This window comes from Homo sapiens, chromosome 12, assembly GCF_000001405.40.
Source record: "Homo sapiens chromosome 12, GRCh38.p14 Primary Assembly".
Lineage (NCBI taxonomy): Eukaryota > Metazoa > Chordata > Mammalia > Primates > Hominidae > Homo > Homo sapiens.
This window is the reverse complement of record NC_000012.12, coordinates 528480-554576: the sequence shown is the minus strand read 5'-3', so window position 1 is coordinate 554576 and position 26097 is coordinate 528480. Positions and strand designations below refer to the sequence as shown.

Sequence of the window (26097 nt, the reverse complement as noted above, 5' to 3'; positions counted from 1 at the left end):
CCTCGTGATCCGCCCGCCTCGGCCTCCCAAAGTGCTGGGATTACAGGCGTGAGCCACCGCGCCCAGCCTGTAAATATACTTTTAAAACCACTGAAAGGTACACCTTAAAATGGTGATTTTAATGTTATATAAATTTTATCGTAAAAAATGTTGACTGGTTGAATGAATGGATGAATGAAAACACAAAGAACTCCAGTCATGCATCACGCCCTAACCCTTCCAGCCCACATGCAGGGTCTTAATTTGTATTTTTCTAGCCTCTGTTTTGCCTGTTTGTCTATTTACTAGCTCTTTCCTCGGAGGAGGGGACCTCATCTACTGAGTCCTTCCAGTCCTCAACACACGTACTGGGCCAGGCACCCAGGGATTTCAGAACCTTGCCTAATGGCGGGACAAACACCTGCCTGGTCAAGATCCTCTCCAGGGACAGGGGCCCCGGGCACTTGTCCTTCCCAGGAGCCTGAGTCGGGGGCAAAGTTCCAGCTATTTCCGCGGCTGGGGGAACCCACTACCAGCCCTTAGGCCCCTGCCTTCCAGGCCAGCTGGCTGCCACGTGCCCCAGTCCCTGGCCCCAGGAGAGCCCTTTACCTTACCCCCGGCTCCTCTGGTTGAGCTTCTTCAAGAAGACTCGCGTGACCTCCAGAGCTTCCTGCTCTGGAAGCAGCAGGTTGCCAGATGTGTTACAGCTCAGATCGATCCAGTCAGTCCTCAGGGCTTGGAAGTCGAGATTCCGGGCACTGAAGGTCTGGTCCCAGTTTACTACCGGGTCAAACACAGGTACGTACTCGAACACCTCACTCATATCCTCTTCCTCCTCCTCTTCTTCCCCCTCTTCCTCTCCCTCCACTTGTCCTTCCTGGCCTGCGGCCGCCACCACTTCCTCCTCCCCATGCCAGCCCCTTCCAGGGGCCTGAGGCCGCATCCTGTCACCCCGTCTCTGCTCTGCGATGTACGACTCCACCTGGTTCAGCCACTGAGTCTTCCTGGGGCTGTCACCAGCGGGCCTGGGCCTGGGCCCCCTCATCTGAGGCAGGTTCTTCACAGGGTGCCCAGGAGGCCACTTGTCGGAATGAGGTGAATCTTGGCTGGGCTCAGGGCTGGGTTTTTGCTTCCTCTTCTCTGGCTGCTGCACTGGAATGTGGCTGGTCCTCCCTGGGAAGGACGCTGTGGAGTTCCGCTTGGAGAAGGGGGCCAGCAGGCCCTCCCGGGGCTGAGCCAGGAGTTTCCGCAGGCTTCGGAGGCGGTAGTCAGTGGCATCTTGCTCCAGGGTGGAGGCAGGTGTCTGTCTTCCCTCAAGCATCCTGGCATTCTGGTTGTTGGAGGCAGGGGTCTCCTCTGCCACTTCCCCATACTGGGACTCTTCTAGAAGGTTTTCCTCAAAACCTGCTATTAATAACAACCATTCCTCATGTCAAGAGTTTCCAACCCTTTCCAAACAAGACATACAAGACAGAGGATGATCATACGTGTGACGCACCATGGGGCTCCAGACTGGGGTTGAATCCAGGTTCTATCGCTTACTGTGTGACCCTGGGCAAGGTACTCAACCTCAATTAACCCCAGTTTCTTCATCTGCATAAAGGGAATAATACTGCATCTCTCATGGGTTTGTGAAGACTGAGTGAGATAAACGGCATCACATGCCCGGCAGGTGCATAGCACCTGAGGGACCCAGCAGATGGTCCCAGCCACGCCCTAATCCCCCAAGAAAGGCCCCAGAAGACAGTGCTTCTCTAAACCAGAACCTCCCAAATGGTGCGCCAGGGACAGCAAGCCCCTCCAGCAGTCCAAGTAACCTCCCCCGGGCTCTCACTCTCCTCCAGCTGACCCCAGCATGCTGCTAAAAATAGTGTCATTTTCCACATGTGCCTGGATATGGAAAAGGCAGGAGTCATGCTCTCCACTCCCTTGGGTGTGAAGGGAGAGGTCACGTGATTTGGATCTTGAGCTCCTCAGGGGCGGGGCTGGCACGGTCTGAACATCCCCTGGAAACAGACCATGGTCGCCCCTCTCAGCCTGACCTGGAAGCCTCAGCTGTCACTCTGTACCTGGCTGCTCCAGCCCCTGCTTCTCAGGCTGGTCAATCTTGATGTACTCCTGAAAGCTGAACCTGCAGGAGGAAGGGAGGTGTGCATTGGCACCCGGTGCATGGCGGGCTCAGCCCTGGCTCTGCTGGAAGTCTCAGCAGGAGTCTGACGTTTTGCCCCAGACTAGAGTGGAGGAAGGAGGCTGGTGAGCGGGTGTGTGTGTGTGTGTGTGTGTGTGTGTGTGTGTGTGTGTGTGTAGTACTCAGGAAGAGCAAGAGCAAAGACTTTGGGCTGGGGTGCCACCATCACCCTGGTCCAGGCAGCTCTCCTGGCTCCCGCAGAGCCCTCTGCAAGGTCACCTTCCTGCCCCACTCAGTGTCTCTCACCGGTCTTGGTAGTAGGCGTTTTCCTGGTAGAAACATTTATTGTGGGTCTCCATGTGGCTCAGGCGGGTATAGTCATTGGGGTAAACAAAAGACAGATGAACCTGGAAGTGGAAAAATCAGCAGCAGGAGTAAGAGAGTGAGATCTTGGTAAGAAATCAGCCAGCCAGGGTTAAGCCTGCCCCTGGCTGGGATCACATAGGGCTGCTAGGGACCCGCCCTTGGCAGGGAGAGAAGGGTTGCTCTGAGCGCCGAATGAAACGTGGTGATGCAGATGGGGCTCTCATTCCCCTTGTTATGCTAGTGATCCCAGGCCCTATGGACCAAATGCAACCCTGAGTCAAGCCCCTGGTCCACATCTCCCCTCCTGAACCAGCTCCCGTCCCTCAGCTTCAGCCAAAACCACTCCTTCCTCCCTCTGCCACCTGATCCTCTCCTGAAACCTCTGAACCTTTACCTGCAACCTCCCACAGCCCTAGAACAACCCCTCTTCCTATTTACTTCACTGCTTCCTTTGCCCCCTTAAACATAGCTCGTGGTCACCACCACCAAAGAACTTCTCAATTACACCCCAGCCATTCTCTGACCTGGTGATGCCTCCTGACCTCTTTCTTCTGCCCTCCAGCTCTTCCTTATAATCATCTCTAGATCTGGATGCACAGGAGAGTGGCCACGCTGCCTGTCTGGCTTCCGCATGGGTTCTGGGTTCTTTAAAGCTAACTTCCCCTCCATAGCTCTTTTTCCCCCAGTGCCTGGTCTCTGGGTTTAGTAAGTCCTGCTGGCTCACTAGCTGGCGGGACTGACCAGGCAGGGTAGGGTTGTGTGGCCCTTGGAGCAGGGAGCTTAAGAAGCCTCAGCCAGGCCACCTGATATCATCACGGGGCTGGGCTGAGTTGGTGTGTGTTGGGGGGCCCTGAGGCAGAGCACCCACGTGCAGGCTCTGCTGGACAGTCTATTCAGGGCGGTCCATCTGGGAGTGCAAGTTCTTCCCAGCCCAGGGACCTGTGAGGACGTCCTGTCTGCTGGGATGGGATGTTGGGAAGATGGGAAAGTCAGCCTCACCACCTCCCATCCCAGTCACAGGCAGCAATCCCTCTGCCAGCCCTGCTCTCCATGACCCAGGCCCAAGACTTACAAACCGGAGTCCCTGGTAGCGCTGCAGAGGAAGCCCATCCACCAGATAGCTGGGTTTGTAGGGACAGTCAGGCAGGACGTGGCGGAGATGCGACTTGGGGATCAGAGGCACTGAGGACAGTGGAGGAGGAGGAGTGAGGGTGAGGGTGAGCACGAAACTGGGGCTGAAGTCCTCTGCCCTGAGCAGGGCCCTTTCTGTATTCGCAAGCGGCAGCTGTGTTCTGCCGACGTCTGTGGCTGAGGCTGCCAGCTGGAGGCTGCCCCACGCACCTGGAGCAGGGCCATTTGAGGAGCACCCTGGCAGCAGAGGACTCAGCACACAGCCCCAGGTACAAGGCACCGTTTGATCTTAGAGTCACTGTGCAGGGATAGCCTCAATAAGGTCTAGAAACTTCTAAGAGGCCAGAAGGTCCCCTCCCTCGTACAGTACCGATAACTGGATTTCCTACCATGGGCTGAACATCCCCTTAGCGTCAGTTGTCATTTTTTTGAGAGGGGTGAGGAGTAAAGAAACTTTGTTGTTTTTTTTGTTTGTTTGTTTTTTTTGACAGGATCTCACTCTGTCACCCAGGCTGGAGTGCAGTGGTTCAATCACAGCTCACTGCAGCCTCAACCTCCTGGGCTCAAGCGATCCTCCCACCTCAGCATCCCAAAGTGCCAGGATGACAGGAATGAGCCACCATGCCTGGCCATCTTGGCCGTCTTTTAAAATGTAAACACTCCCAAGAGGAATCATGCATTAAGACTCTAACACTGTGGTGTCCACGTATTTCTCTCCTTGGATGACAAGAGTTGGAATGCAGTAAGAGGCGGGGACGTGTGAGATTGGGAAGGGATGTGTGGGGGACTTCCGGGTTCTAACTCTATTTCTTGTTGTGGGTGGTGGTTCCACAAACGTTCACTCTGTAATGATATGCAGAATTGTAAAATTACACGTAAATATTTTATACTTATTTACATGCTCTCTTTTCTGTATGCATGTTCTATGTTACAAGGACGATAAAAAGTTCTACGGTGATTGGGATACTTGGCAGGTCTCTCAAGCCTTCTCCACCATCAGCAGTGGACCTGGCAGTGCAGTGTCCCCAGAAAGGACGCCAAGCGCTGGCCGAGGCCTTACCTCGATAGAGGGTGTCCCGGGGGTCAGGCCGAAGCATGTCAGCGGGCGGCTGCTCATCCCTGGGAAGAGCGTTGGAGGAGTCCACGTGGCTGGCTGCTGTCTGTGGGATGTGGCCCACCTCATCCATCTGTAGGAACGTCTCATCTGGGCGCAGGGAGGAAAGAAAGCAGGAGGCTGTGTGGCCTGGAGCGCAGCAGCCCACTGCCCTTGAAGGGGAGGGAAGAGACGCAGAAGGGGCTCCTGACTCCAGCGGCGACGGTGTAGGATGTGCGCAGCCACACTCCCTCTGGCCCCCGCCACAGCGGTGGCTTCACGATTCATCTGCCTTCGGCCCCCTCTGCCAGCCCCACGGCTGACCCACACGACTGTGTTGCGTACTCGGAAAAAGACACCTCTTTCTCAAAATGTGTTACTGCGGACTGCTAGAAATGTGGCATTAAGTACGCCTAATTTATTGAACGCTTACAGAGCACTTAATAATAAGCCAGGCCCTGCTCTAAGAATATCCCAAATATGAACCCTTCTAATCTCCAAAAGCACCACATGCCTTCTGTACTACGATCATTCCCAGTTTACAGATAAGGAACTTTGGCATAGAGAATCTAAGTCATTTGCCCAACATCATACAACAGACGGGTGGCCAAGCTGAGTTTGAAGCCAGGTGATCTAGTTTCAGCATCCAGGTTAAAGCAGCCACAGAGAAGGGGGGTGGGGGGCTGGCTGCTTCTTTGCTCTCTGTCTCCCGGGTTCATGCATCTGTCTACACCTGCCACGGAGGCCTATGGATGGCATGTTTTTCAACGGGGCCTGAGGATGGGAGTCTCACTGAGGAAATGATATGAAATGGAAAATGCCATTGAAGAAAGAGGTCGCTTCCTGTGCACTGAAGGCAGGTGAACAGGTTTCCTCTGCCCTGGCCATGGCTTTGCAAGAACCGTGGTTACCTCATCTGGAAAATAGGGGATTGGACTCGCTCAGAGGGTTTTTTTGTGTTGTTTTGTTTTGCTTTTGAGGCAGCGTCTTGCTCTGTTGCCCAGGCTGGAGCACAGTGACCCAATTACAGCTCACTGTAGCTTCAGCTTCGAACTCCTGGGCTCAAGCGATCCTTCCCAGTAGCTGTGACTACAGGCATGCGCCACCACACCCAGTTAATTTTTTAATTTTTTGTAGAGATGAGGTGTCGCTATGTGGCCTGGGCTGGTCTCGAACTCCTGGGCTCAAGCAATCCTCCTACCTCGGCCTCCCAAAGTGCTGGGATTACAGGTATGAGCCACCGCACCCAGCCTCAGAGTTTTTAGATCTGGTGTGAGCTCACAGTCTCTGGACTCCCTTGAAGTTGTATTCAAAATGTTGTGTGTGGGTGGGTAGACAAGGGCATTTTTCTGAGGCAAGGGCTCAGAGAGCTTCTAGCAGGTTCTCAAAGGGGTCACTGACCCTGGGGAGTTAAGGACTCCTGGTCATAAGGTCCCACTCTTGTTCTGGACCCCTTCATACCCGTGTCCCAAGCATCTCGAGCTTCCTTCCTCCCCTCCTCCCCTCCTCCCCTGCCAAATCCCCCAGGGTAGGCTGTCCCCACCTGGCCTCCATCTCCAGGGCAGGGCCAGAGCCTACTCACTTGTGAAGAGGGACAGGGAGAGGGAGTCAATGATGGTGAACTTGGCTCCAGGGTCGTTCCGTCGCCACTGGAAGAGGAGAGAGAGGGTAGATGCAGAAGGTGGGAGGTAGCTGGATTTCCAACAGGGGTCAAGGGACAAGGGGAGATGAGTGCCAGGAACTGAGCTGGGAGAGGCGGGAGCAGCAGGAAACTCACTGCAACTTCCACGTGGTCGGTGCCCTCCTCATTCTGCTTGTGCAGCACCTCGAAGTAGTACCTGTGGGAGGCTGACAGGCTGGCGGGAGAGAGGGCAGGGAAGCAGAGCGCCATCTCCATGGGCCCTGGGGTCGCGGCTCTGTCCCACCCCCTTCCAGCACCTTACACTCCCTCATCCCTTCTCCTTGCTCTTAGAATGCCAGGAGTTAACTGCCTAGGTTCGAGCCCCCACTCTATCACTTGCTAACAGTGTGAGCTGTTTTCTCTTGGTGAGATGGGCATAATCAGAGTACCTCCTCCACAGGATGATCGGAAGAACCCAAAGAACAGTAACAGAAGCCGTTAGAGCTCAGAGACTGTGGCAGACACTGTTCTAAATGCTTTCAATATGTGACCTCATGTAATCCTTGTTCGTAGAGGAGAACACAGAGGCACAGAAGGCTTGGGTAGTCTGCCAGAGTGATGAGGGGTGGAGGTGGGATTCCGCCGGCCGACTTGCCCCAGGGACCACGCACCAGCTGCTCTGCGGAGCTGCACACGGCGTACCCACCACGGCAGCTGGCACGCGAGTGCTCTTTGCAAGCAAGATTGTCTCCTTAAAATTTTAAAATTTATTTTTATTGATACGTAACCCTTGTGCATATTTATGGGGTGCACACGGCCTTCTGTTGCATGCGTAGGATGAGTGAGGATCAAGCTAGGGGATTTAGGATCCCTTCACCCACCTGGAGCACTTGGCATTCTATGTTTTGGGAATATTCCAAATCTTTTTCTCTAGTTGTTTGAAAATACACAATCCATTGTTGTTACTACAGTCACCCTACTGTGCTGTCGAGCATCAGAACGTATTCCTTCCATCTAGCTGTGTCTGCACCCCACCTCTCCTCACCCCCACGCCCGTCCTTCCCAGCGTTTCCAGCAACGTCCAGCAACGCCCAGCAACGCCCGCTCTTCCCGCCTGCGTGAGCGCGCGTGGGCCACCAGGGGGCGCTCTGAGGCCGCGCTACGCTCCCTCCCCGCAAGGGAAAGGGACTCGTGTCCCCAGACGACCGAGGGGGACCTCGGTCCGGGGTCCAGGCTGTTGTGGGTGTGGAGAAACGGGGGAGGGCAAGGACTGGGAGGAAGGAGACCTATTTTCCAGTCCCGCGTGTCACTAAAGAGCTGCGTGACCTGCAATAAGTCACGGCCTTCTGGGCCTCAGTTTCCCCATCTGTGAAACGAGGACGGATGGGCTCGCGGCTTCTGAGCCAAAGACCCGGTTGCCGGGAGCGTGTGGGTGCCGGACACACGGAAGCTCTGGAGTCGGCAGCTGGGCTGGCGGACAGGGGCGCAGCCGGGCTCCACCGAGGCACCGAGGCGCCCACAGCGCCTGTCCTGACCCTCACTCACCTCACCGGCTTGGAAATTTGGCTCCGAAATTTCCCAAACTCTCCCGGGGCGGTCCACTCCTTTCCAGTCTAGAGGTGTGGAAGAGAGAAGAGGAGGGAGGAACAGAGAAAACAGGAAGCACGCGAGGCGGTGAGTGCGAGACCAGGAAGGAGAACCAAGAAGTGAGAGAAAAAGGGAGGAAGACGGGCGGAATGAAGGTGAGAGAGGTAGGAGAGAAAACAGAAGGGAGTGAAGGAGTGAGCGTTGCCCACGCAGGAGGCAGCCCGCCTTGCCAGGAGCCCGGAGCAGCCGGATGACCTGCAGCGCGAGTCAGCACCCGGCCAAGGCCAGAGGGCCCCAGAGATGCTGCGCTGGGTGTCCCAAGCCGAATCGCTGTGGTCCTTCCCCAGCCTCAGACTCGCTCCCCACTCCTCCCTGTCCGCACTCTCTGCCCCACTCCTCCCACCTCCCCACTCCTTACTCCTCTCCCCACCTCCCCACTCCCCTCCTCCCACACCCCCCTCCCTCCTCTCACACCCCCTGCCCACTTCTCACTGCTCCCTCTTTCTCATTCCCCCCTCCTCTTCCCTCTTCCCGACTCCTTCCCGCTTTTCCCTCCTTCTCACTCCCCACTTTCCCACAACTCCCCACCCTAACTCCCAACTCCTCCCCACTCTTCACTCCTCCCTACTCCTCACTCCTCCCCATTCCTCACTCTTCCCCACTCCTCTCACCTCCCCACTCCTCTCATCTCCCCACTCCTCTCACCTCCCCACTCCTCGCACCTCCCCACTCCTCTCACCTCCCCACTCCTCGCACCTCCCCACTCCTCACCTCCCCACTCCTCGCACCTCCCCACTCCTCTCACCTCCCCACTCCTCGCTCCTCCCCACTCCTCACCTCCCCACTCCTCGCTCCTCCCCACTCCTCGCTCCTCCCCATTCCTCTTACCTCCCCACTCCTCTCACCTCCCCACTCCTCACTCCTCCCCACTCCTCGCTCCTCCCCACACCTCGCTCCTCCCCATTCCTCACTCCTCCCCACACCTCGCTCCTCCCCACACCTCGCTCCTCCCCACTCCTCACTCCTCCCCATCCTCAGTTTATCCCTTTGTAGAGGGGTAGGGGTGAGGGAGGAGACTTCTTTTCCACCCCTTCTTCCCCGCTGTCACACCAGAGATGCTAACAGTAATGAGCAGCTGCTGGAGGACTCAATGAACAGGCTCCAGGAGCAGATGGGAGGGACCGGGGTTGAGCTGGCCTTACCTTGCCCACACTGGCCAGCAGCTGGAGGCCTGAGACCTGGTCATCGAGGCTCAGCCAGAACTCCGCGTTGTCATCTGCAGCAATGGCAAACTGGATTTTCCCTGGGCAGCGGGGAGAGTTTCCAGATGAGGGCAAGGAGGGCATCAGCATAAAAGCTGGAGGCTTTTGTGAGTGTCTTAGCGATTAAATTCCCTTCAGTGCTTGATGCTGTGGCTTCCCTCTCTGTAAAGTGGGGGTTTCTACATCCTGGGAGACAGTGTGAAGATGGAGAAGACTTATATGGAGAGATGAGCTGGTTCCAGGCTGCAAACCAGGGAGCAAAGCAGCAGCCTGTGGGAGTTGGACAAGACCGCAATATGACTCAATTTCCCCTCTCTTCCTGAGGGTGGACTAACAGGAAGTTAGTCCAGTCTACCTATAACCTTATCTTATGTTCTTTGGGTCCGATGCAGAACTCTAGAGCAGGAAGAAGGATGGGGTTTTGGGGCTGGCCTCACCATCAGTAAAGGGGTGCAGGTAGCCAAAGATGCGGAGGCCATAGTTGGTCCATTTGGGGGACACAGCAAGCTTCCTCAGGGTTGTGCGAATCTATGCCAAGAAAGGGGAAGGAAACAGTTACCCAGAAGAGGGAAAAGGAAACTTCCCGCCAGGATTGGCGGGAAGACCAGGAGGGGACTATGACAGGAGGGACCAGGGCTGTGGCTTTGTGAGTGGAGTGCAGGCTCAATTTCAGTTCCCATTTGCCTCTTTGTCCAGGAGACCTTGTACAGTGCACAACCAGCACAACTGTACATGGTGGCCCTGGGTACACTATATTGTGAGCCAGAGAGCCTGAAACTGAAATGATGCAGGGGATGAAATTGAAAGGATCCCTAGGAAGGAAACAAGGGAACTATTATGGGCAGACAAAAAGAGAGCTCAAGAGATAAAGGAGAAAATATGGACCAGAAAAGATGTAAGGAAAGATGAGAGACAGAAGTGGGCAGAGGAGGCAGGTGTGGAGGGAGGTGGGCAAGGCAGCCCTCAGGCACTCACATGGGGGTACAGTGGGAAATGCAGGTTCCTCCTGAGCTGCTGGATAGAGCTGCCACACCAGTCTTCAAACACATGCAGGTTGGCACGGCCCCGGAACTGCAGGGCGGAGACGCCAGTGGTGAGTGAGCGTGAGCACCCCATGCCCGCCCCAGATCCTCAGCTCCAGGGGGATGAGCATCCCATGCCCGCCCCAGACCCTCAGCTCCAGGAGGATGAGCACCCCATGCCCTCCCCAGAGCCTCAGCTCCAGGAGGATGAGCATCCCACACCCGCCCCAGATCCTCAGCTCCAGGAGGATGAGCACCCCATGCCCGTCCCAGCTCCTCAGCTCCAGGAAGATGAGCACCCCATGCCCGCCCCAGCTCCTCAGCTCTGGGAAGATGAGCACCCCATGCCCGCCCCAGCTCCTCAGCTCCGGGAAGATGAGCACCCCATGCCCGCCCCAGCTCCTCAGCTCCAGGAGGATGAGCATCCCACACCCGCCCCAGATCCTCAGCTCCAGGAGGATGAGCACCCCATGCCCGTCCCAGCTCCTCAGCTCCAGGAAGATGAGCACCCCATGCCCGCCCCAGCTCCTCAGCTCCGGGAAGATGAGCACCCCATGCCCATCCCAGCTCCTCAGCTCCGGGAAGATGAGCACCCCATGCCTGCCCCAGCTCCTCAGCTCTGGGAGGATGAGCACCCCATGCCCATCCCAGCTCCTCAGTTCCAGGAGGATGAGCACCCCATGCCCGTCCCAGCTCCTCAGCTCCAGGAAGATGAGCACCCCATGCCCGCCCCAGCTCCTCAGCTCCGGGAAGATGAGCACCCCATGCCCGCCCCAGCTCCTCAGCTCCAGGAGGATGAGCACCCCATGCCCATCCCAGCTCCTCAGTTCCAGGAGGATGAGCACCCCATGCCCGTCCCAGCTCCTCAGTTCCAGGAGGATGAGCACCCCATGCCCGTCCCAGCTCCTCAGCTCCAGGAAGATGAGCACCCCATGCCCGCCCCAGCTCCTCAGCTCCGGGAAGATGAGCACCCCATGCCCGCCCCAGCTCCTCAGCTCCAGGAGGATGAGCACCCCATGCCTGCCCCAGCTCCTCAGCTCCGGGAGCGTGACCACCCCATGCCCATCCCAGCTCCTCAGCTCCGGGAGGCTGGGCAGAAAGGGGCCGGTGCTCCTCTCACTGTGCGGGTCCGGCCCACTCTATCCCATTCCCAGCCCAGCACCCAGCACTTCTTTCAGGAACCTGGTGCTGATGTTCACCCCATGGCCTGGCCTTGGGGACAAGGTCTGCTCTGGCCATGCACACACACACACATACTCTCCCTGGACCTCCCATGCAGGAAGGGGGCTGGTGTTCATTCCCCAGGCAACGGGGACAATGGTTGTGACAGAATAGCTGAGAGGACAGGGAACTAGGAGGAGCCGGCTGGGGTTTCAGGAAAGACTTGCTCTCCTCCCCTCCCCATCCCTGATCCTGAGGAGAGGAAAGCGCCACAGCTGTCTGCCGGTGAAACCTTATCTACCCAGTGGTCTCCATGCTTCTGGCTCCCCTTGGGAAGCAGCTGGGAGGCACTGCAGGAGTGAGCTGGGGCCCATCTGGGCTTCCCAGCATCTTGGTCTCCCACAGCTCTCTGAGGCCTCCTAGACTCATTCTGAGCAAGCTGCTCCTGGGACAGCCTCGGGGCAGTGCCAGTTGGGTTGGAACCCCTTTCTCCTCTGCAGGACTGGGCTTGGAGGCCCTGAGCAGAGGGCTCCCTTCCCCAGAAAGGGGGAAGGCAGGAGCCAGCACTCTGAGTGGGTGGCAGGGCTGGAAATTTGAGAGGAGAGGGGAAGTGTGGGGACTTTGTGCCAATCATCCTGACAGTGGGCCTCGGATCACCCCATGTCCTCCCCTCCCCCAGGGCTTCTGTCCAGGTTGTGGGAGGTGGGGCCTGGTGACTCCCTACCAGCAGCCTGCCCTGGCCTCCCCGCCATGCCCACGAGATAGCAAAATCTGGGCTGCCCTTAGGAGCTCTGAGGGGACACCCAGATAAGAAGAAGTGGCACAAGTTCTACAAGAGATCTGTAGGAGGGAGGATGGGCAGGCAGGGAGAGGAGGGGGCAGGGAATAACTCCTCAACAGGAGTGCCCGAGGTCCCAGGTGTGGCTGGTGGGGTGGGCGCAGCCTCTGGGGAACACTGCCTCAATGCTGGATCCAGAAAGACGCAGGAGAACCTGTCTCTCCCTGCCCTGCAGCAGAGTGTGGCGCTAATGGGGCACACTGGCCTGGTCAATGCCAGGAATGTGGGCCTTGGGAAGCAGCCGTTACTCACAGAAACAGAAGTGGGAGACTGGAACGGATGGGAGAGGGAAAGTAGGCTGGGTAGGTGGGTGGCGGGTTAAGGCTTCAAGGAAGGAAAGAATGGGGACATTGTGCTACTTTGGGGGAAAATCCTCAAGTTCAGTTTATAAGACTCAGCTGTCTCCTCCAAAGGCTTCTTTCTGCCCCCTCCCTAGGAGATACAGATCCCAGGAGGGAGGGCAGTGGGGGAGGGCATGCCACCAGAGAAGCCTGTTGTGTTCAGCCTGGAGGCCAGAGGCCGGGGGGTGGGGGGGGGTGGGGGGGGGTGAGGGGGGGGACTGGGCAGGGAGAGGAGGGCCGAGGGAGGCACTGGCTGGCCACTCCTGCCTCACCCTCAGGGCCTTTCTTGCCTGAGCAAAGGGATCATCAGATGATGCAGGCAGCCCCAGGCAGAGAGGCTGGCAGTGTGGGAAGAGGAGCTACCTGGCTAAGCCCAGGCCCTTGTGCAGCACTAGGCTAGCCCTCAAACCATGCTTCACCCCACTCTCAGGCTGTAGGTGGGGGTCTCTGAGGGGCCAGAAGGCACCCTCTTCCTCCCTGGGCCTGGGATGAGAACCACCCCGTCCCCCAAGGATTTGTGTCCCTCTGAGTCTTGGAGACTTTGTATCTGGCAGGGACGTGGGACTCCAGCACACCAGCCCTGCCCTCTGCCCACTCGCTCCATTGTCCAGCAGTGACTAAGGCCCAGGGAGGGGCACTGGTCACTCCAAGCACCAGAGCATGTCTATGGCCAATGGTGGTTTTGAAACTTCCAAAGTCAGAAGTGCTGGAGAAGATATCTGTTGGAACCCTCTCATTTTAAGGGTGAGGACATTGAAGCTCAGAGAGGTAAACTGACTCCCCAAGGACACACAGCAAGTAACCCTTGGGAGAGGGGAGGGCATCGTGCAGGGGTGTGGGTCACACAGGAATATCCACCGGCCCTGCCGGGCCCTCACTGGGCCGCAGCAGAGCCTCCAACTGGATCTCAGCTTCTCCCCCACACGGAGTCCTCACCGCTTCCAGAACTCTCGTTCTAAAGCTCGGATCTGACCAAGTCACTCTGCTGCTTAAAACCTCCGAAGCTGCCGGGCACGGTGGCTCACGCCTGTAATCCCAGCACTTTGGGAGGCTGAGGCGGGCGGATCACGAGGTCAGGAGATCGAGACCATCCTGGCTAACATGGTGAAACCCCATCTCTACTAAAAATACAAAAAATTAGCTGGGCGCGGTGGTGGGTGCCTGTAGTCCCAGCTGCTCGGGAGGCTGAGGCAGGAGAATGGTGTGAACCCGGAAGGCGGAGGTTGCAGTGAGCCGAGATCCGACCACTGCACTCCATCCTGGGCGACAGAGCGAGACTCCGTCTCAAAAAAAAAGAAAAGAAAAAAAGAAGAAAAAAAACCTCTGAAGCTTCCCAGAAGGCTTCAGAACAGAGCCTCACCCAGCACACGGAGTCTGACCTACCTTTTCCAGCCTCACCTCACACCACTCCCTGCCATACACCTTTGCTCCACCCACATCAAAACCCTGTCTTTGCCAAAATCGTCATGCTGTTTCCCTTCTCCATGCTTTTACAAATGCAATTTCCTGATTAGAAGGCCCATTCATTTCTTCCTTACGTGGCAAACTCCTGCTCATCCTTCAAAGCTCTTCTCAAATAGTTCTCTCCGAGGCCTTCTATGACGTCCCCAGGCAGAGGGAACAGCTCCCTCCCCTGTGTTCCCTGCACATCCTAATTATTTAAATGAACAAACGCTTGGAGGAGCTAAGCCCAGAACAGTATCTTCCTCCATTCTATTAGCACTGAGTGTCTGCACTGTACCCCTTAAAGATGAAAGAGAGGTTGGTCCTCAAAGGAGGCAGACATGTAAACAAAAGGGTGTCACCTGCGCCAGGGGCTCTGGCAGAGGTACGAGGTTCAGAGGCGCACGAAGGCAGGCACCGTCAGCCTCCTCCAGGAGCACTCGGAAGCCCATCGCAGGACATGAGTGCTGACTGGCCCTCTGCTTCCGCTATACCCTCTGCTACTCAACCAGAGTCAAACTCGCAAGACCAAGGGTACCTGGCTAGTGGTTCAGTTCTAACTCATGCGGCAGTGGGGCCTCCCCCGGAGGAACACAGCAGGGTGATCAGGTCACCGGTTCCTACACACCAGGAACTCCTATGTCCTGTTCAGAGTTTCGAGGTACTCGATCTATTTTATTTTATTTTATTTTTAAGGTCAGGGTCTCACTCCGCTGCCCAGGCTGGAGTGCAGTGGCACAATCATGGTTCTCTGCAGCCTCAAACTCCTGGCCTCAAGCAATCCTTTTTCCTTAGCTGCCCAAGTAGCTGTAACTACAGGTACACGGCACTACAGCTGGCTCATTTTTCTATTTAGTGGAAATGGGGTCTCCCTATGCTGTCCAGGGTGGTCTCAAACTTCTGGCCTCAAGCGATCCTCTCATCTTGGCCTCCCAAAGTGCTAGCATTACAGGTGTGAGCCACCACACCCAGCCTTGAATTGTACACTTTAAACGAAGTGTATGGGTGAAGTGTATGGTATGTGAATTACAGTTCAATAAAGCTGTTTCTTTCTTTTTTTTTTTTTTTTTAAAGGAAAGGCTGAGAACAGGAAGGAGTCTGTGTCACAGCTCTGTCCACAAAAGAGAGACACTGCCTTCTCAAAGCCTGTGTGAACAACCCACGAGAACTCTGATCTCACTTGCTTTGATCTGACTTTGTACTCACCAAATTTCTTTCTTGTAACTATCTTGGGTTTGGGGAGTGGCCTGGCTGGCAGACATAGCATTTTGGTGAATGGAGCAGTGTATTTACCAACACATGAACAGATTGGCACTGGGGTTTGTTAATGAGCGTCTTGTGATCAGTGTTGGTGTGAACAAGTTTTGAAACAGTCACTCCATGAAGCCCAGGCCCCTAGCCATCCAATCTGATCAGTCAGCCTCTGGTGCACCAAGTAAAACGTCTGAGGCTGCTGAGTCTCCGGAGTGACTTCTGGCCTCAGAGACCCTGGGCTGCCAGCCAAAGCTCGGGGCAGGGAAACAGTGAAAGAGGAGGCCATCGTCATCTTTCTCATCTCCTGCCCTTGCTCACCTTTAGCAGGGCCCTGCACTAACTCTGTGACCCTGAGCTGACCTCTCTGAGCCATTATCTGGAAGAGGGATAACAGAACAACCTGACAGCTCCCGGACAGTAGTAGATGCTCAATAAACGATGTGTATTATTAACCTGGGAACTTCCTGCTGGCCAAGGACAGGCAAGGGGATGGGAACAGAAGTCCCCAGAATGTGGCGAGACTGCAAGGCTGGGCTGGATGCCAGCTGGCACCATAATGCAGCTGTGTGACTGCGTGTGGTTTGGCCTCTCCAGGACCTTCCTTCCTTATTCTCCTCATTGATAAAATAAGAGGATTGGATCAGTGAACCCCTGAACATCCATGAAGACTGTAATGAATATTTTGTAAGCTATTTTTAGTATTTAAAAATGGAAATCAGTCATTTACCACCAAAAGGCCATACACACTTACTAAAATAGCCAATATTTCTTTTTTTTTTTTTTTTTTTTTGAGATGGGGTTCTCAACTCTGTCACTCAGGCTGGAGTGCAGTGGCACAATCTCGGCTCACTGAAGCCTTAACTGCCTACACTCAAGCAATCCTCCCGCCTCAGCCCCCCAAGTAGCTGGGACCACAGGCGTGCATCACCACGGCTAGCTATTTTTTTTTTATTATTTGTAGAGACAAGGTCTCACCATGTTGCCCAGGCTGGTCTGGAACTCCTGGGCTCAAGCAATCCTCCCACCTCGGCTTCCCAAAGTTCTAGGATTCCAGGCTTGAGCCACCAAGCCCAGCCCAATTTTGATCACTGTTTACTATTTGTTCACTGTTTTTGTTTCATTATATGTTTATACATATGGCCTTGATTGGCAAAAACAAGTGGATAAATTAATTATTAATAAATGTAGAATGTTATGGCGCTATAAGCTTTCAAAATAATTGGTTTATTAAGAAAAAGGATCCATGCTATCCTTAAAGGAGAGAAGGCTGGATCACCAGACCAAATGATCTGTAAAGCAAGTTCTTTTCAAAGTACTATCTCCAGGTAGGGCGGGGCATAATTACCTGGTGATGTCATCTAGTGCAGGTGTGCCAGCATTGTAATCCATCCTCTCCCAGGGCTTTAAAAGGAGGTAGTTTCACAGTGTGGATAACTAACGTCACATTCAGTACAATACTGCCTCCTTCACTCCTGCCCCAGAGCAAGTGGGTGGATTCCAAATAAAACCACCCAGGCTGAAGAGCTCCACCTATGATAGGTATGGATGAAGACAATGAGCTAGCCCGTACCACCCAGCCAAGAAAAGTAATCTGTGTCCGCAGGGCCTCGAGACTAAAGACGCTGGGTTCTAAACAAGTTGTAAAATAGGAAACTCAAATTTAAAATTTTCATCCCCAAAGCACCGTGCTACTCGGAAATCTTGACATAACGATTTATTTACTCAAGGTAATCTTGTGTATGTTAATTAACTTCCTTGAGCCTCAGTTTCTTCACCAAAAGAAAAAGAATCTGGGGCCAAGTATGGTGGTTCATGCCTGTAATCTCAGCACTTTGGGAGGCCAAGGCAGGAGGATCGCTTGAGGCCAGGAGTTTGAGGTCAGCCTGGGCAATATAGTGAGACCCTGTCTCTATAAAAATTAATTTTAAAAATTAGCCAGGCAACGGTGGTACATCCCTGTAGTCCTAGCTACTCAGAAGTTAAAGATACAGTGAACTATGATTGTGTCACTGTACTCCAGCCTGGGAAACAAAGCAAGACCCTGTCTCTAAAAAATAAAAAACCAAAAGATGACACACAATCTATCAAAGCCTGTAAAAATGAAAGATATTATGATGGTTCTGATAACTTTTATTCATTTAACTGCTTCCTGTAAGTTTTCTAAAGCAGAGTTTCCCAGTGCATGTTCGTTACAGCATTTCTATGGATCCTCGAGCACTAGTTTCATAGAGTATAATAGGCATTTCATGGAAAAAAGCAATTCAGTTTGAGACATGCTGAGCTAAACCAAGTTAAACAGATGGCTGCAGAACTTCTCATACTCTTTCATATGCTAATGTACATTTCCAGGAAGGCAAGGTAGTATATTATAGTTTTAAAAGCTTATTTAACAATGGACTCTTTTCTTCCTGGAATATCTTATGGGATTTAAGATAGTGGCCCAAGAAAGACAGTTTGGGATGCTTATCTTTAAGACTGGGGATTGGCATGGCCATGAAAGTCTTGTAGCTTTCCTGAGCCTTGTTTTTCCACCTATAAAATGAGGATAATGATACTATTCCACAGGGTCGCAAAGCTGAGATGACATGATCCACAAAGCCTGCCACACAGTAGGCCTTTGGCAAATGTGATTGTTCCTTCTCTAAAGAGAGAAATTGAATCAACCTGGAACGCGTGGAGTGAAAAATTTTCATGAAATCACTAAACTAGGTGTAGTAATGCCCACCTGTAATCCCAGCTAGTCAGGAGGCTGAAGCTGGAGGATCGCTTGAGCCCAGAAGTTTGAGACTAGCCTGGCCGACATAGTGAGACCCCTTCTCTAAAAACAACAACAACAAAAAACTAACTGAATAAATAATTTAAAAATTTTTTTAATTCACTAGTAGAAAGTTTTCTGTGATCTCTGGAATTATCCATAAACATTATTTTTTAGCTCTCTCAAAGAGTAGGTACGGTAGAAGGTCCCTAGTAGAAAGTTTTCTGTGATCTCTGGAATTATCTGTAAACATTATTTTTTAGCTCTCTCAAAGGGCAGGTACAATAGAAAGTCCCTCACCTCTGAGAGCCAGGGGACAGGCTTGTTCCACTTCAAGTAGCTGCTGTTACTGCTCACCCCTTGGTCAATGTCGTGGTCCTAGGGGAAGAATGAAGAACGAAGTTGGTAGGAATATTAGGATGAGAAGCTACGGGCAGGACAGGAGGCACAGTGCCTGCTCCCAGGAGGCGTCGGCTCGGAGCACGCTGCCGTCTGTCATTCACACCATGTCCTGGGAATACATCTCCATAGTTTCATCAGCGCCTGCTCCTCGGGTTCCTTCACTTTTCTGAATTTTCTGTCCTCCCCATATGGGAAAGCAGTTTACCCTCTTTAGGTCAGGACCTCTTGAGGGCAGGGACCTCGGCTCCCTCTTCCTCCTTATCCCCCAGCTGTATAGATTTGGGTTCCAACAAGTGGGAGCCCCTCAGGGACACCACCAAACCCTCCCTATTGTGCAGGTCCACAGGTTCAGTTTGGCTCTGGTCCAGCTCTGGAATCCATGTCTGTTCTAGGCTCAGCCTTGGGGCTCCTGAATGAATTAGACCCCAGTTTCTCTAATCTGCCTCCTTAGGGACCATTGGTTCAAGAAGCACTGCAGGCAAATGCTCCACCACAAGTCTGTACTCCCAGCTACGGGCAGGGAGGGGTGTCCATCCACCTCGTCACCTCTGATCTCAGCAGCAAGCACAGCACAGCCCAGCCCTCACCCTAGTGAGAGGCACCACATGCCACTGGTGATGGAGGTCGCAGGCCCGGAGTGGTTCCGGCACGGGCAAACTGAACTAGGGAACGAGGGCAGACACCAGAAAACCAGGCCCAGTGGCAGCCCCAGTAAAAGTTTCCTTTTACTGGCTTTGAGGAGGCTGGATGGACATCTCTAAGGCTCAGCTAGGAGGTCCTGAGGCCAGACTAGGACTCTGGGGGCTGTTTATCCTCTGCCTCTCCTCCCAGAGTAGCAGAGGTTACCCTTAAGGCAACTGGGCAGAGCACCTGCGGACCTTTGTTAAGGCATCAGCAGGGACAATGGACTGGCTGGTCACCTACCTCGAGGCTCAGCCTCTGGGGATGGTAGAACTGGAGGTGTGGATCCACAGCTGGAATGTTCCTGCTGGCCAGAGCCTTGGCCAGTTCTCTCCAGCTGCCGTACCCTGTGGAAGGGGAAGAGAGGAGCCCTCAGGTCAGCGTAACCTGGAAACCTCATACACCTAAAAGATTTGGGAGGTTAATGGAGGGAACCGTCTTCCCTTCTCACCTCTCTTCAGAGGGTGGGTGGGAAGAGGGCTGGGCTGGGGGCAGGAGATAGCTGCAGACTGGCCAAGGCCCACAGGGCAGAGAGAGGAGATGAGCTTACATCCCATCAGCAGTCACCGCCTTCCAGAAACCAGAGAAGGAGCCAGTCCAGGTGAGCCTGGACCACGGGCCTCCCACTACCAGCTCGTTCTCCCCCGGCTGCCTCTGGAGGCCAATTTATCCCGAGAGCTGCCGTGGAGAGATGGTCGTGACAGGCGGTACACTCTTCCCTTCCTGCTCAGTTTCTGTGCCCTGAGCCCGGGGAACAGCAGAGGCTTACTAATGGGTGGGGACCCCCTACCACTGATCACTGGGTTGCTGGATAGAGCCGGAGCTGAGAGAGGCAGGAAAGAGTGGGCCTGGGATGTGATGTCTGTCAAACAAAGGTATAAACCACTGGAGATACAAGATCAGAGGCCCTGCTATTACTGGAGTCACCGGGAGGCTGCGTGTGGCTGACGCTGTCTGTACCCTGAAGGCTCTGGACCAGGTTGGCTTACACGCACCTGGGAAGGCAAAAAGCCAAACCATGGCGAGAGGGAGGGAGGGAACAGGAAACTGGGGGGTGCACGCGCATTCACAAGTCAGGAGGCAAGGGGCTGCACCAGGGTGAGGGCCGGGGAGAATCAGTCCGGCGGCCGGCCACTGCTGACACTCCCGAGGGCTGGGACTCCCATCTCAGAGGAGATTGCTGGGCTTTGGATAAGTGGAACCAAACCACTGTTAGTCACAAACCAGAACCGTAGACCACTGGAAGCGAAAGAGGCTTTTGAGATCACCTCATCCTCCCTTCAAGTGAGGAAAATGGGACCCACACTGGTCAAATGGCTGATCAAGGCTCACTTAGCAAGTAGTGGCAAGGCTAAGACTAGGACCCCAGTGTGCCACGGATTTCCACTGAGCTCCCCTTTCCCTCAACAGCTTCACCACGATGTCCCCAGGATGCTGCGCTGGGCACTGCTTAGACGGAATTAGCCTGACAGTCCCCGACCCCTGGGAGCCAAGAGTCGACAGTAGGCAGAAGTGTCACAGAGGAACCCCTACGTGAGCACCAGCAGAGACACAGACAGCCACGCAGACACAGAACACAGAGCACCACCCACGAATATGGGCTTCACCGAAGGTGGCCACCCACGCTATGCACGAGTGTTTCTGTAACAGGCCTGGGGAGGGGTGGGATCAGGGGCTGCACGCTGAAATGCAGGTGTGGGGTGAGAGTGCTTTTCTTACATGATTATGCTTTGTGTGGGCCCTTTCGGCTTACTGAGTGTCCCACAGGCGTGATTTCATCTGAACCTTCTAAGAACCTCCTGAGAGGCCAGCTCCATGACCCCATTTCACAGATAGGGAAAGAGCGCTCCGAGTCTGAAGTCACAGAGCTGGTTGTTCCGCAGGCAGGATCAGAACAGAGAGCTCCCCTGTCTCACAGGCCCAGGTTTTCTCATTCTGCCCACATTTCTCCTGTAGTCACTTTCTGGCATAGACTTTGAGGAGTGCCGGCGCAGAGGCCTCAGCAGGGGATCTGTCTCTGGGTTTCTGCAGATGTTCACCCTCCACTCGTGTTATGGTTGCAGGGACTTCTGCAGCTTTATCCCTCTGCCATCAAGGTCTCTCCTGTTTCCAGGCTGGCCCAGCTGGCAGGAAGAGGTCTGGCGAGTTCAGGGCAGGGGTGTGTTCTGGGGAAGCAGGATGCTGGGGCCACTGAAGTGATGTGAAAATATGAGGAGTGAGGGAGAAAGAGAAAGAATGCTCCCAGACTATACCCTCCATTTCTGGATGAGCTCAGGGGAAAACTGCTTGTTCATCTGCTAATCCCAACCCAAACACATGATCTAAAGCAAGAGCTCATCCCTTCCCAGCCCTGAGGATCTGCTGGCTAGCAGTTGTGGGTTCAGGCGTGCCTGGGTGACACATGAGTTACACTGTGGGGAGGAGGAGGATGGGCCCTGCCTTGCTCCTGCATCTGAATGACTGGGTCATCTTCATTCTTATGACTAAAAACTTCTTACTCAAGAGAAGCTTGTGGGGAAATACCCACGAAATGCTGCCTGCCCCATCAGTGGGAGTTACAGTGCGTCTCAGGTGCACATTCCTTCTCGAAGACGGTCTTCAGCTCAGCCAAAGTCCTTGACTGTTGGGAGTCACACCAAGGGGAGATGACTAACCCTCACAATGAACTAGCATTGTGGGTCTTCAGCTGCCCTTGTCCTGGCATCTGCTGGGAAGTGACAAGGACTCTCTCCTTGACCAAACCTTAGATGCTCCTCTGAGCACTCTTTTTTACAAGACCTCATCCTTGGGCCCTGTCCTGGGCCTACCTAGTCCAGTTTTCAGCAAGAATTCTTCTAGGTCAGTTTAGTAGAACCCCCCGCCCCCTAACATCTGACCAAGCTTCTCATCTCCCACCCTTGCCTTTAGCAAGAGTCCCATTAGGCCAGTTCAGCAAGAATCCCTCCATTCTTGATGTCTCAGTCGTTTTCCAACCACTGACCCCTTAACTCTGCTGGCTGGCTATAAATCAGCAGTCATTGCTGCTGTATTCAGAGTTGAGCTCAGTCCTGTCCTGAAGCCTCTCTCCCATGTTGCAGCAGTACTTGATAAAATCCATCTTCACGACCTGTAACTAGTGTGCAGTTCTATTTCTCTTTAACAGAAGGTAAGAGGCAGCTCTCTCAGTGACAAAAGACAAATCCATTTAGGGAGGTGAGTGGATTACAGGTAGGAAATTCAGTGAAGTTAAACCCAGTCAGGTCTTGCCCCTGGGTAACAGGTGAGTCTAGGTGGCTGTGAGATACCTAAAACTTGGGCTAGTCAACAGCCCAACCCTCATGGATTTAAGGAGTAGGAAAATTCCTTTGCAGTCCTCATGATAGAGTAGGAAGACAAGCAAGCCTTCTGAGTCAGAAAGATCTAATTGTGGCCTGGCGTGGTGGCTCATGCCTGGAATCCCAGGACTTTGGGAGGCCAAGGCAGCAGGATCACTTGAGCCCAGGAGTTTGAGACTAGCAACATATGGGCAACATAACAAGACCCTCCCTTTTTTTTTTAAAGAAAAATAATAAAAAATAAAGATCTAATTGTATATCTACCAATTATAAACTGTGACTGCTTGAACAATTTAACTTCTTTGGCCCTGGTTTCTTCATCTGAATGGTGGAAATAAAAACACCTGCCCCACAGGGACTGCTGTGAAGATTAAATTATGTGGGCCAGACCTAGCGTGGGGTCTTAGTACCCAATAAATGTTTTCTTCCTAAAAATTTCCAAGTTTGAGGTTTTGGATTTGGGAGTCGGAAGATATGAGTTTCAACTCCTTTAAAAAATACTCAGTATCTCTCTGACTCTTTTCCCTCTATGCTTCTTTTCTTATTTTTCTTTTTTTAAGAGACAGGATCCCCCAGGCTGGAATGCAGTGGTACAATCATAGCTTACTGAAGCCTTGACCTCCTAAGCTCAAGAAATCCTCCCACCTTAGCCTCCTGAGTAGCTAGGACTACAGGTGCATGCCACCATAGTTGGTTAATTAAAAAAAAAAATTTTAGAGATGGGGTCTTTCTATGTTGTCCAGGTTGGTCTTGAACTCCTGGGATCAAGTGATTCTCCCACTTCAGCCTCCCAAAGTGCTGGGATTACAGATGTGAGCCACCGTGCTCAGCCTTCTCCATGTTATTGACCAGAGTAGTAAGCAGTGGGCCAGCAGTGGGCCAGCAGTGGCAGTATGGCAATAGGTAACACCCCCTCTTTGTTTCACAGTGTTGCTCTTTGCCCCCCACCCTCCCGCATCCCCCATAAATATTCACCAAGTGCGTCTCAGGTGTCAGGCGCTGTGCTGTGCATTGGGATATTTCCTCTTCCTGTATCCTTGCCTCTGTGTTAATCCTGCCAGTGAATAACCAGGCATTGCTTAGCCCCCCTGGGGGAATGTGGAGCTGAAAAATGTGCTGATTTAACTACTGACATTTGTCGCTTACCCTCTGGTAAGCGAACTCCTCCTGCTCCTAGCCAGACCTCTTCTCCCAGAGCACCAGCTGCCAGGGCCTGTTTCTGCTACAACAGGTGTCACATTTGTGCCAGGAGACAGACACCCCAATCTCAGGTGACAGATAAAGCACCACCGTGGGCCTCATATTCTGCCCTCACAAAGCTGGGCTATCAAATTCACCATCAGCCGGAGCTTTGCCAACATCCCTCCTCTGTGCAATGCAGACTCTTCAAAGGCCTGAAGATTACCATCTTCCTCATTGGTAAAAATAAGGCATGCATATATCCCCTTGTGCTTTTTTCTAAGACTCTCGCATATGTTATTTCATTAGCTCTTCTCAACCTCCCTGTTAAGTGTTGTCTTCTCCATTTTAGAGATGAAGAAACAGAAACAGAAAGGCAAAGTCATCCGCTCAAGGCCACACAGTGAACGGGATAATCCGTGTCAAGGATTTATTACCCAGAACATAATAAGCCCTTAACACATGGCAGCTTGTTATTTGCATTAGTCATGATGCTGCAGATCTGGAACTCACAATTATTTCTCCTGACGCCTGGTGTGATTCATACCCAAGAGAAAGGAAGTCTCTCGCTGCCCAGGCTGGCATTGGTGTTACAGATTCTGTGCTGGGACTGCAGGCCTGAGCCTCCCAACTCCACTCCAGGGCTAAAACCCTTCAAAGCACTTTCAACTTAGCAGACAAAAAATTCAGACTAAGTTCTCACGTAAGTATAAATCCTAAACCCTGTTAATAAAGGCCCAGGACTAACTAGCTGACCCATCACACGCCAGGGCCATGGCTCACGACAGGAAAATCTTCCCTAAATCAGCCTAAGACATAGCAACGCTCAAACTTCTGCCAATGCCCAACAGGGCATTTTACAAGGTACACGGCAGGATGTATTGCTTTTGCTCCTAAGTAGTTGTAATAATGGCAATATTCATAGCAGCTCACCTTTACCGAAGGTACACGGCAGGATGTATTGTTTTTGCTCCTAAGTAGTTGTAATAATGGCAATATTCATAGCAGCTCACCTTTACCGAAGGTACACGGCAGGATGTATTGCTTTTGCTCCTAAGTAGTTGTAATAATGGCAATATTCATAGCAGCTCACCTTTACCGAAGGTACACGGCAGGATGTATTGCTTTTGCTCCTAAGTAGTTGTAATAATGGCAATATTCATAGCAGCTCACCTTTACCGAAGGTACACGGCAGGATGTATTGCTTTTGCTCCTAAGTAGTTGTAATAATGGCAATATTCATAGCAGCTCACCTTTACCGAAGGTACACGGCAGGATGTATTGCTTTTGCTCCTAAGTAGTTGTAATAATGGCAATATTCATAGCAGCTCACCTTTACCGAGTGCTTATCATATACAAGGCACTATGCTAAGAGTTTTATTTCACTGAGTAAAATTGCAGATAATGTGCCACGTGCACACACATCACTTCATGGTAAATGGCAAGGGAGCCCGATATATATCTCCAGAATCTGTTCCAATCATCTGCTGATCTACGCTGGGAGTAGTATCGTCGGCCCCAAATGAGTTAGATTCACCTCACCCATCACTCCACATCTTACTGCTTGCTCGTGTGGAAACGAACGTTGCCCGCCTACAGATGTAACTGGGTGGAGACTGCTCAACCCAGCGGATGGCGCAAGTCCATCACAAGGGGGTAGACAGGGAGCTAAAGGGTTAACCCCGACCCCAACCAAAAGCAAGCTCCCTCCATCAGTAGGGAGCCTGGAGGCAACTCATGAATGCCAACAGGAGAGGTGGGGCTGAGAGTAAGCCCGAGAAAGAAGTGGAAGCAGTGGGTGTGGGGGTGACACCTACAGGGGGAGATGCGGAAAGGTCTTTCTGAAGCTCTTTTGGGGCAGGGCTCCATTAGAAAGGGCTTGTCCCTGGGCAAGGGTATGCAAGAGGGGAAGGACGGGCCCTACCAGGGCCCTAGGAAAGCGAGGGAGAAGGAGAGGCCTGGGAGGGCTGGTTCCATGTACACCACCACATGCAAAGGACCTGAGGATCCAGGGTGAACGTACATGATTGGCTAAGAAGCCCCGGGGTCTGTAGACAGAACTGTCACCAGACACTCAAACTGGAATGAGAAAAGGTGATGAAATCCAGAGGAGCTGAACGGAAACAGAGCCCTTCTCCCACTAGAGAGCAGGAGGTTGTCAAGGGAATGAACATGAGGCCATGACATCCAGGGCGCAGTTCCACAAATGCCAGGAACCAGCACTGAGTCCTGGGATGGAAAAGCAGGGGCTGTGGCTCTGTCCTTGGAGAGCATGTGGGACCAGTCACACATCCTCAGCAGGACAAAGCTGCTAAGGCTAGAAGCCAGCAGGGCCTGAACCCCGCCAGAAACCTGAAGTGGCACAGAGAGTCAGGGGTGAAGCCAGGGGCCTGCCACCTGGGAGGGAGTCCCTAAGGCAAACCCAATGCTCCAATGGCAGAGCCAGGCTGTGTGGCTAAACCTATCCTTTCTAGTACACGATGCGCCAGGGAACTTGATGCGAGAAAAATTATTAGTAATACAACAGTAACGGTTAACAC

General features: G+C 53.3%; 1 protein-coding gene across 1 annotated transcript in view, besides 6 other annotated features; it reads right to left on the bottom strand.

Moving 5' to 3' along the window:
- The window catches only part of B4GALNT3 (beta-1,4-N-acetyl-galactosaminyltransferase 3), a 103571-nt gene that overhangs the window by 8933 nt on the left and 68541 nt on the right, over positions 1-26097 (bottom strand). The window contains exons 2-14 of the mRNA NM_173593.4: positions 19308-19411; positions 18282-18359; positions 10143-10238; positions 9605-9695; positions 9108-9208; positions 7864-7931; positions 6475-6553; positions 6280-6346; positions 4665-4808; positions 3546-3655; positions 2414-2514; positions 2049-2110; positions 594-1383 (exon numbers count right to left, since the gene is read on the bottom strand). Of these exons, the coding sequence (NP_775864.3) occupies positions 594-1383; positions 2049-2110; positions 2414-2514; positions 3546-3655; positions 4665-4808; positions 6280-6346; positions 6475-6553; positions 7864-7931; positions 9108-9208; positions 9605-9695; positions 10143-10238; positions 18282-18359; positions 19308-19411 (1891 nt within the window). The remainder of the gene's footprint in view (positions 1-593; positions 1384-2048; positions 2111-2413; positions 2515-3545; positions 3656-4664; positions 4809-6279; positions 6347-6474; positions 6554-7863; positions 7932-9107; positions 9209-9604; positions 9696-10142; positions 10239-18281; positions 18360-19307; positions 19412-26097) is intronic.
- Positions 7760-8294: an enhancer, noted in NCBI's record as "H3K27ac-H3K4me1 hESC enhancer chr12:655449-655983 (GRCh37/hg19 assembly coordinates)". NCBI's record gives its function as "activates a minimal SCP1, AML or CMV promoter by ChIP-STARR-seq in primed H9 embryonic stem cells {active_cell/tissue: H9 hESC(primed)}" and the evidence as "EXISTENCE:reporter gene assay evidence [ECO:0000049][PMID:30033119]".
- Positions 11193-11921: an enhancer, noted in NCBI's record as "H3K27ac-H3K4me1 hESC enhancer chr12:651822-652550 (GRCh37/hg19 assembly coordinates)". NCBI's record gives its function as "activates a minimal SCP1, AML or CMV promoter by ChIP-STARR-seq in naive H9 embryonic stem cells {active_cell/tissue: H9 hESC(naive)}" and the evidence as "EXISTENCE:reporter gene assay evidence [ECO:0000049][PMID:30033119]".
- Positions 11922-12650: an enhancer, noted in NCBI's record as "H3K27ac-H3K4me1 hESC enhancer chr12:651093-651821 (GRCh37/hg19 assembly coordinates)". NCBI's record gives its function as "activates a minimal SCP1, AML or CMV promoter by ChIP-STARR-seq in naive H9 embryonic stem cells {active_cell/tissue: H9 hESC(naive)}" and the evidence as "EXISTENCE:reporter gene assay evidence [ECO:0000049][PMID:30033119]".
- Positions 14839-15568: an enhancer, noted in NCBI's record as "H3K27ac-H3K4me1 hESC enhancer chr12:648175-648904 (GRCh37/hg19 assembly coordinates)". NCBI's record gives its function as "activates a minimal SCP1, AML or CMV promoter by ChIP-STARR-seq in naive H9 embryonic stem cells {active_cell/tissue: H9 hESC(naive)}" and the evidence as "EXISTENCE:reporter gene assay evidence [ECO:0000049][PMID:30033119]".
- Positions 15569-16298: an enhancer, noted in NCBI's record as "H3K27ac-H3K4me1 hESC enhancer chr12:647445-648174 (GRCh37/hg19 assembly coordinates)". NCBI's record gives its function as "activates a minimal SCP1, AML or CMV promoter by ChIP-STARR-seq in naive H9 embryonic stem cells {active_cell/tissue: H9 hESC(naive)}" and the evidence as "EXISTENCE:reporter gene assay evidence [ECO:0000049][PMID:30033119]".
- Positions 19643-20142: an enhancer, noted in NCBI's record as "H3K4me1 hESC enhancer chr12:643601-644100 (GRCh37/hg19 assembly coordinates)". NCBI's record gives its function as "activates a minimal SCP1, AML or CMV promoter by ChIP-STARR-seq in primed H9 embryonic stem cells {active_cell/tissue: H9 hESC(primed)}" and the evidence as "EXISTENCE:reporter gene assay evidence [ECO:0000049][PMID:30033119]".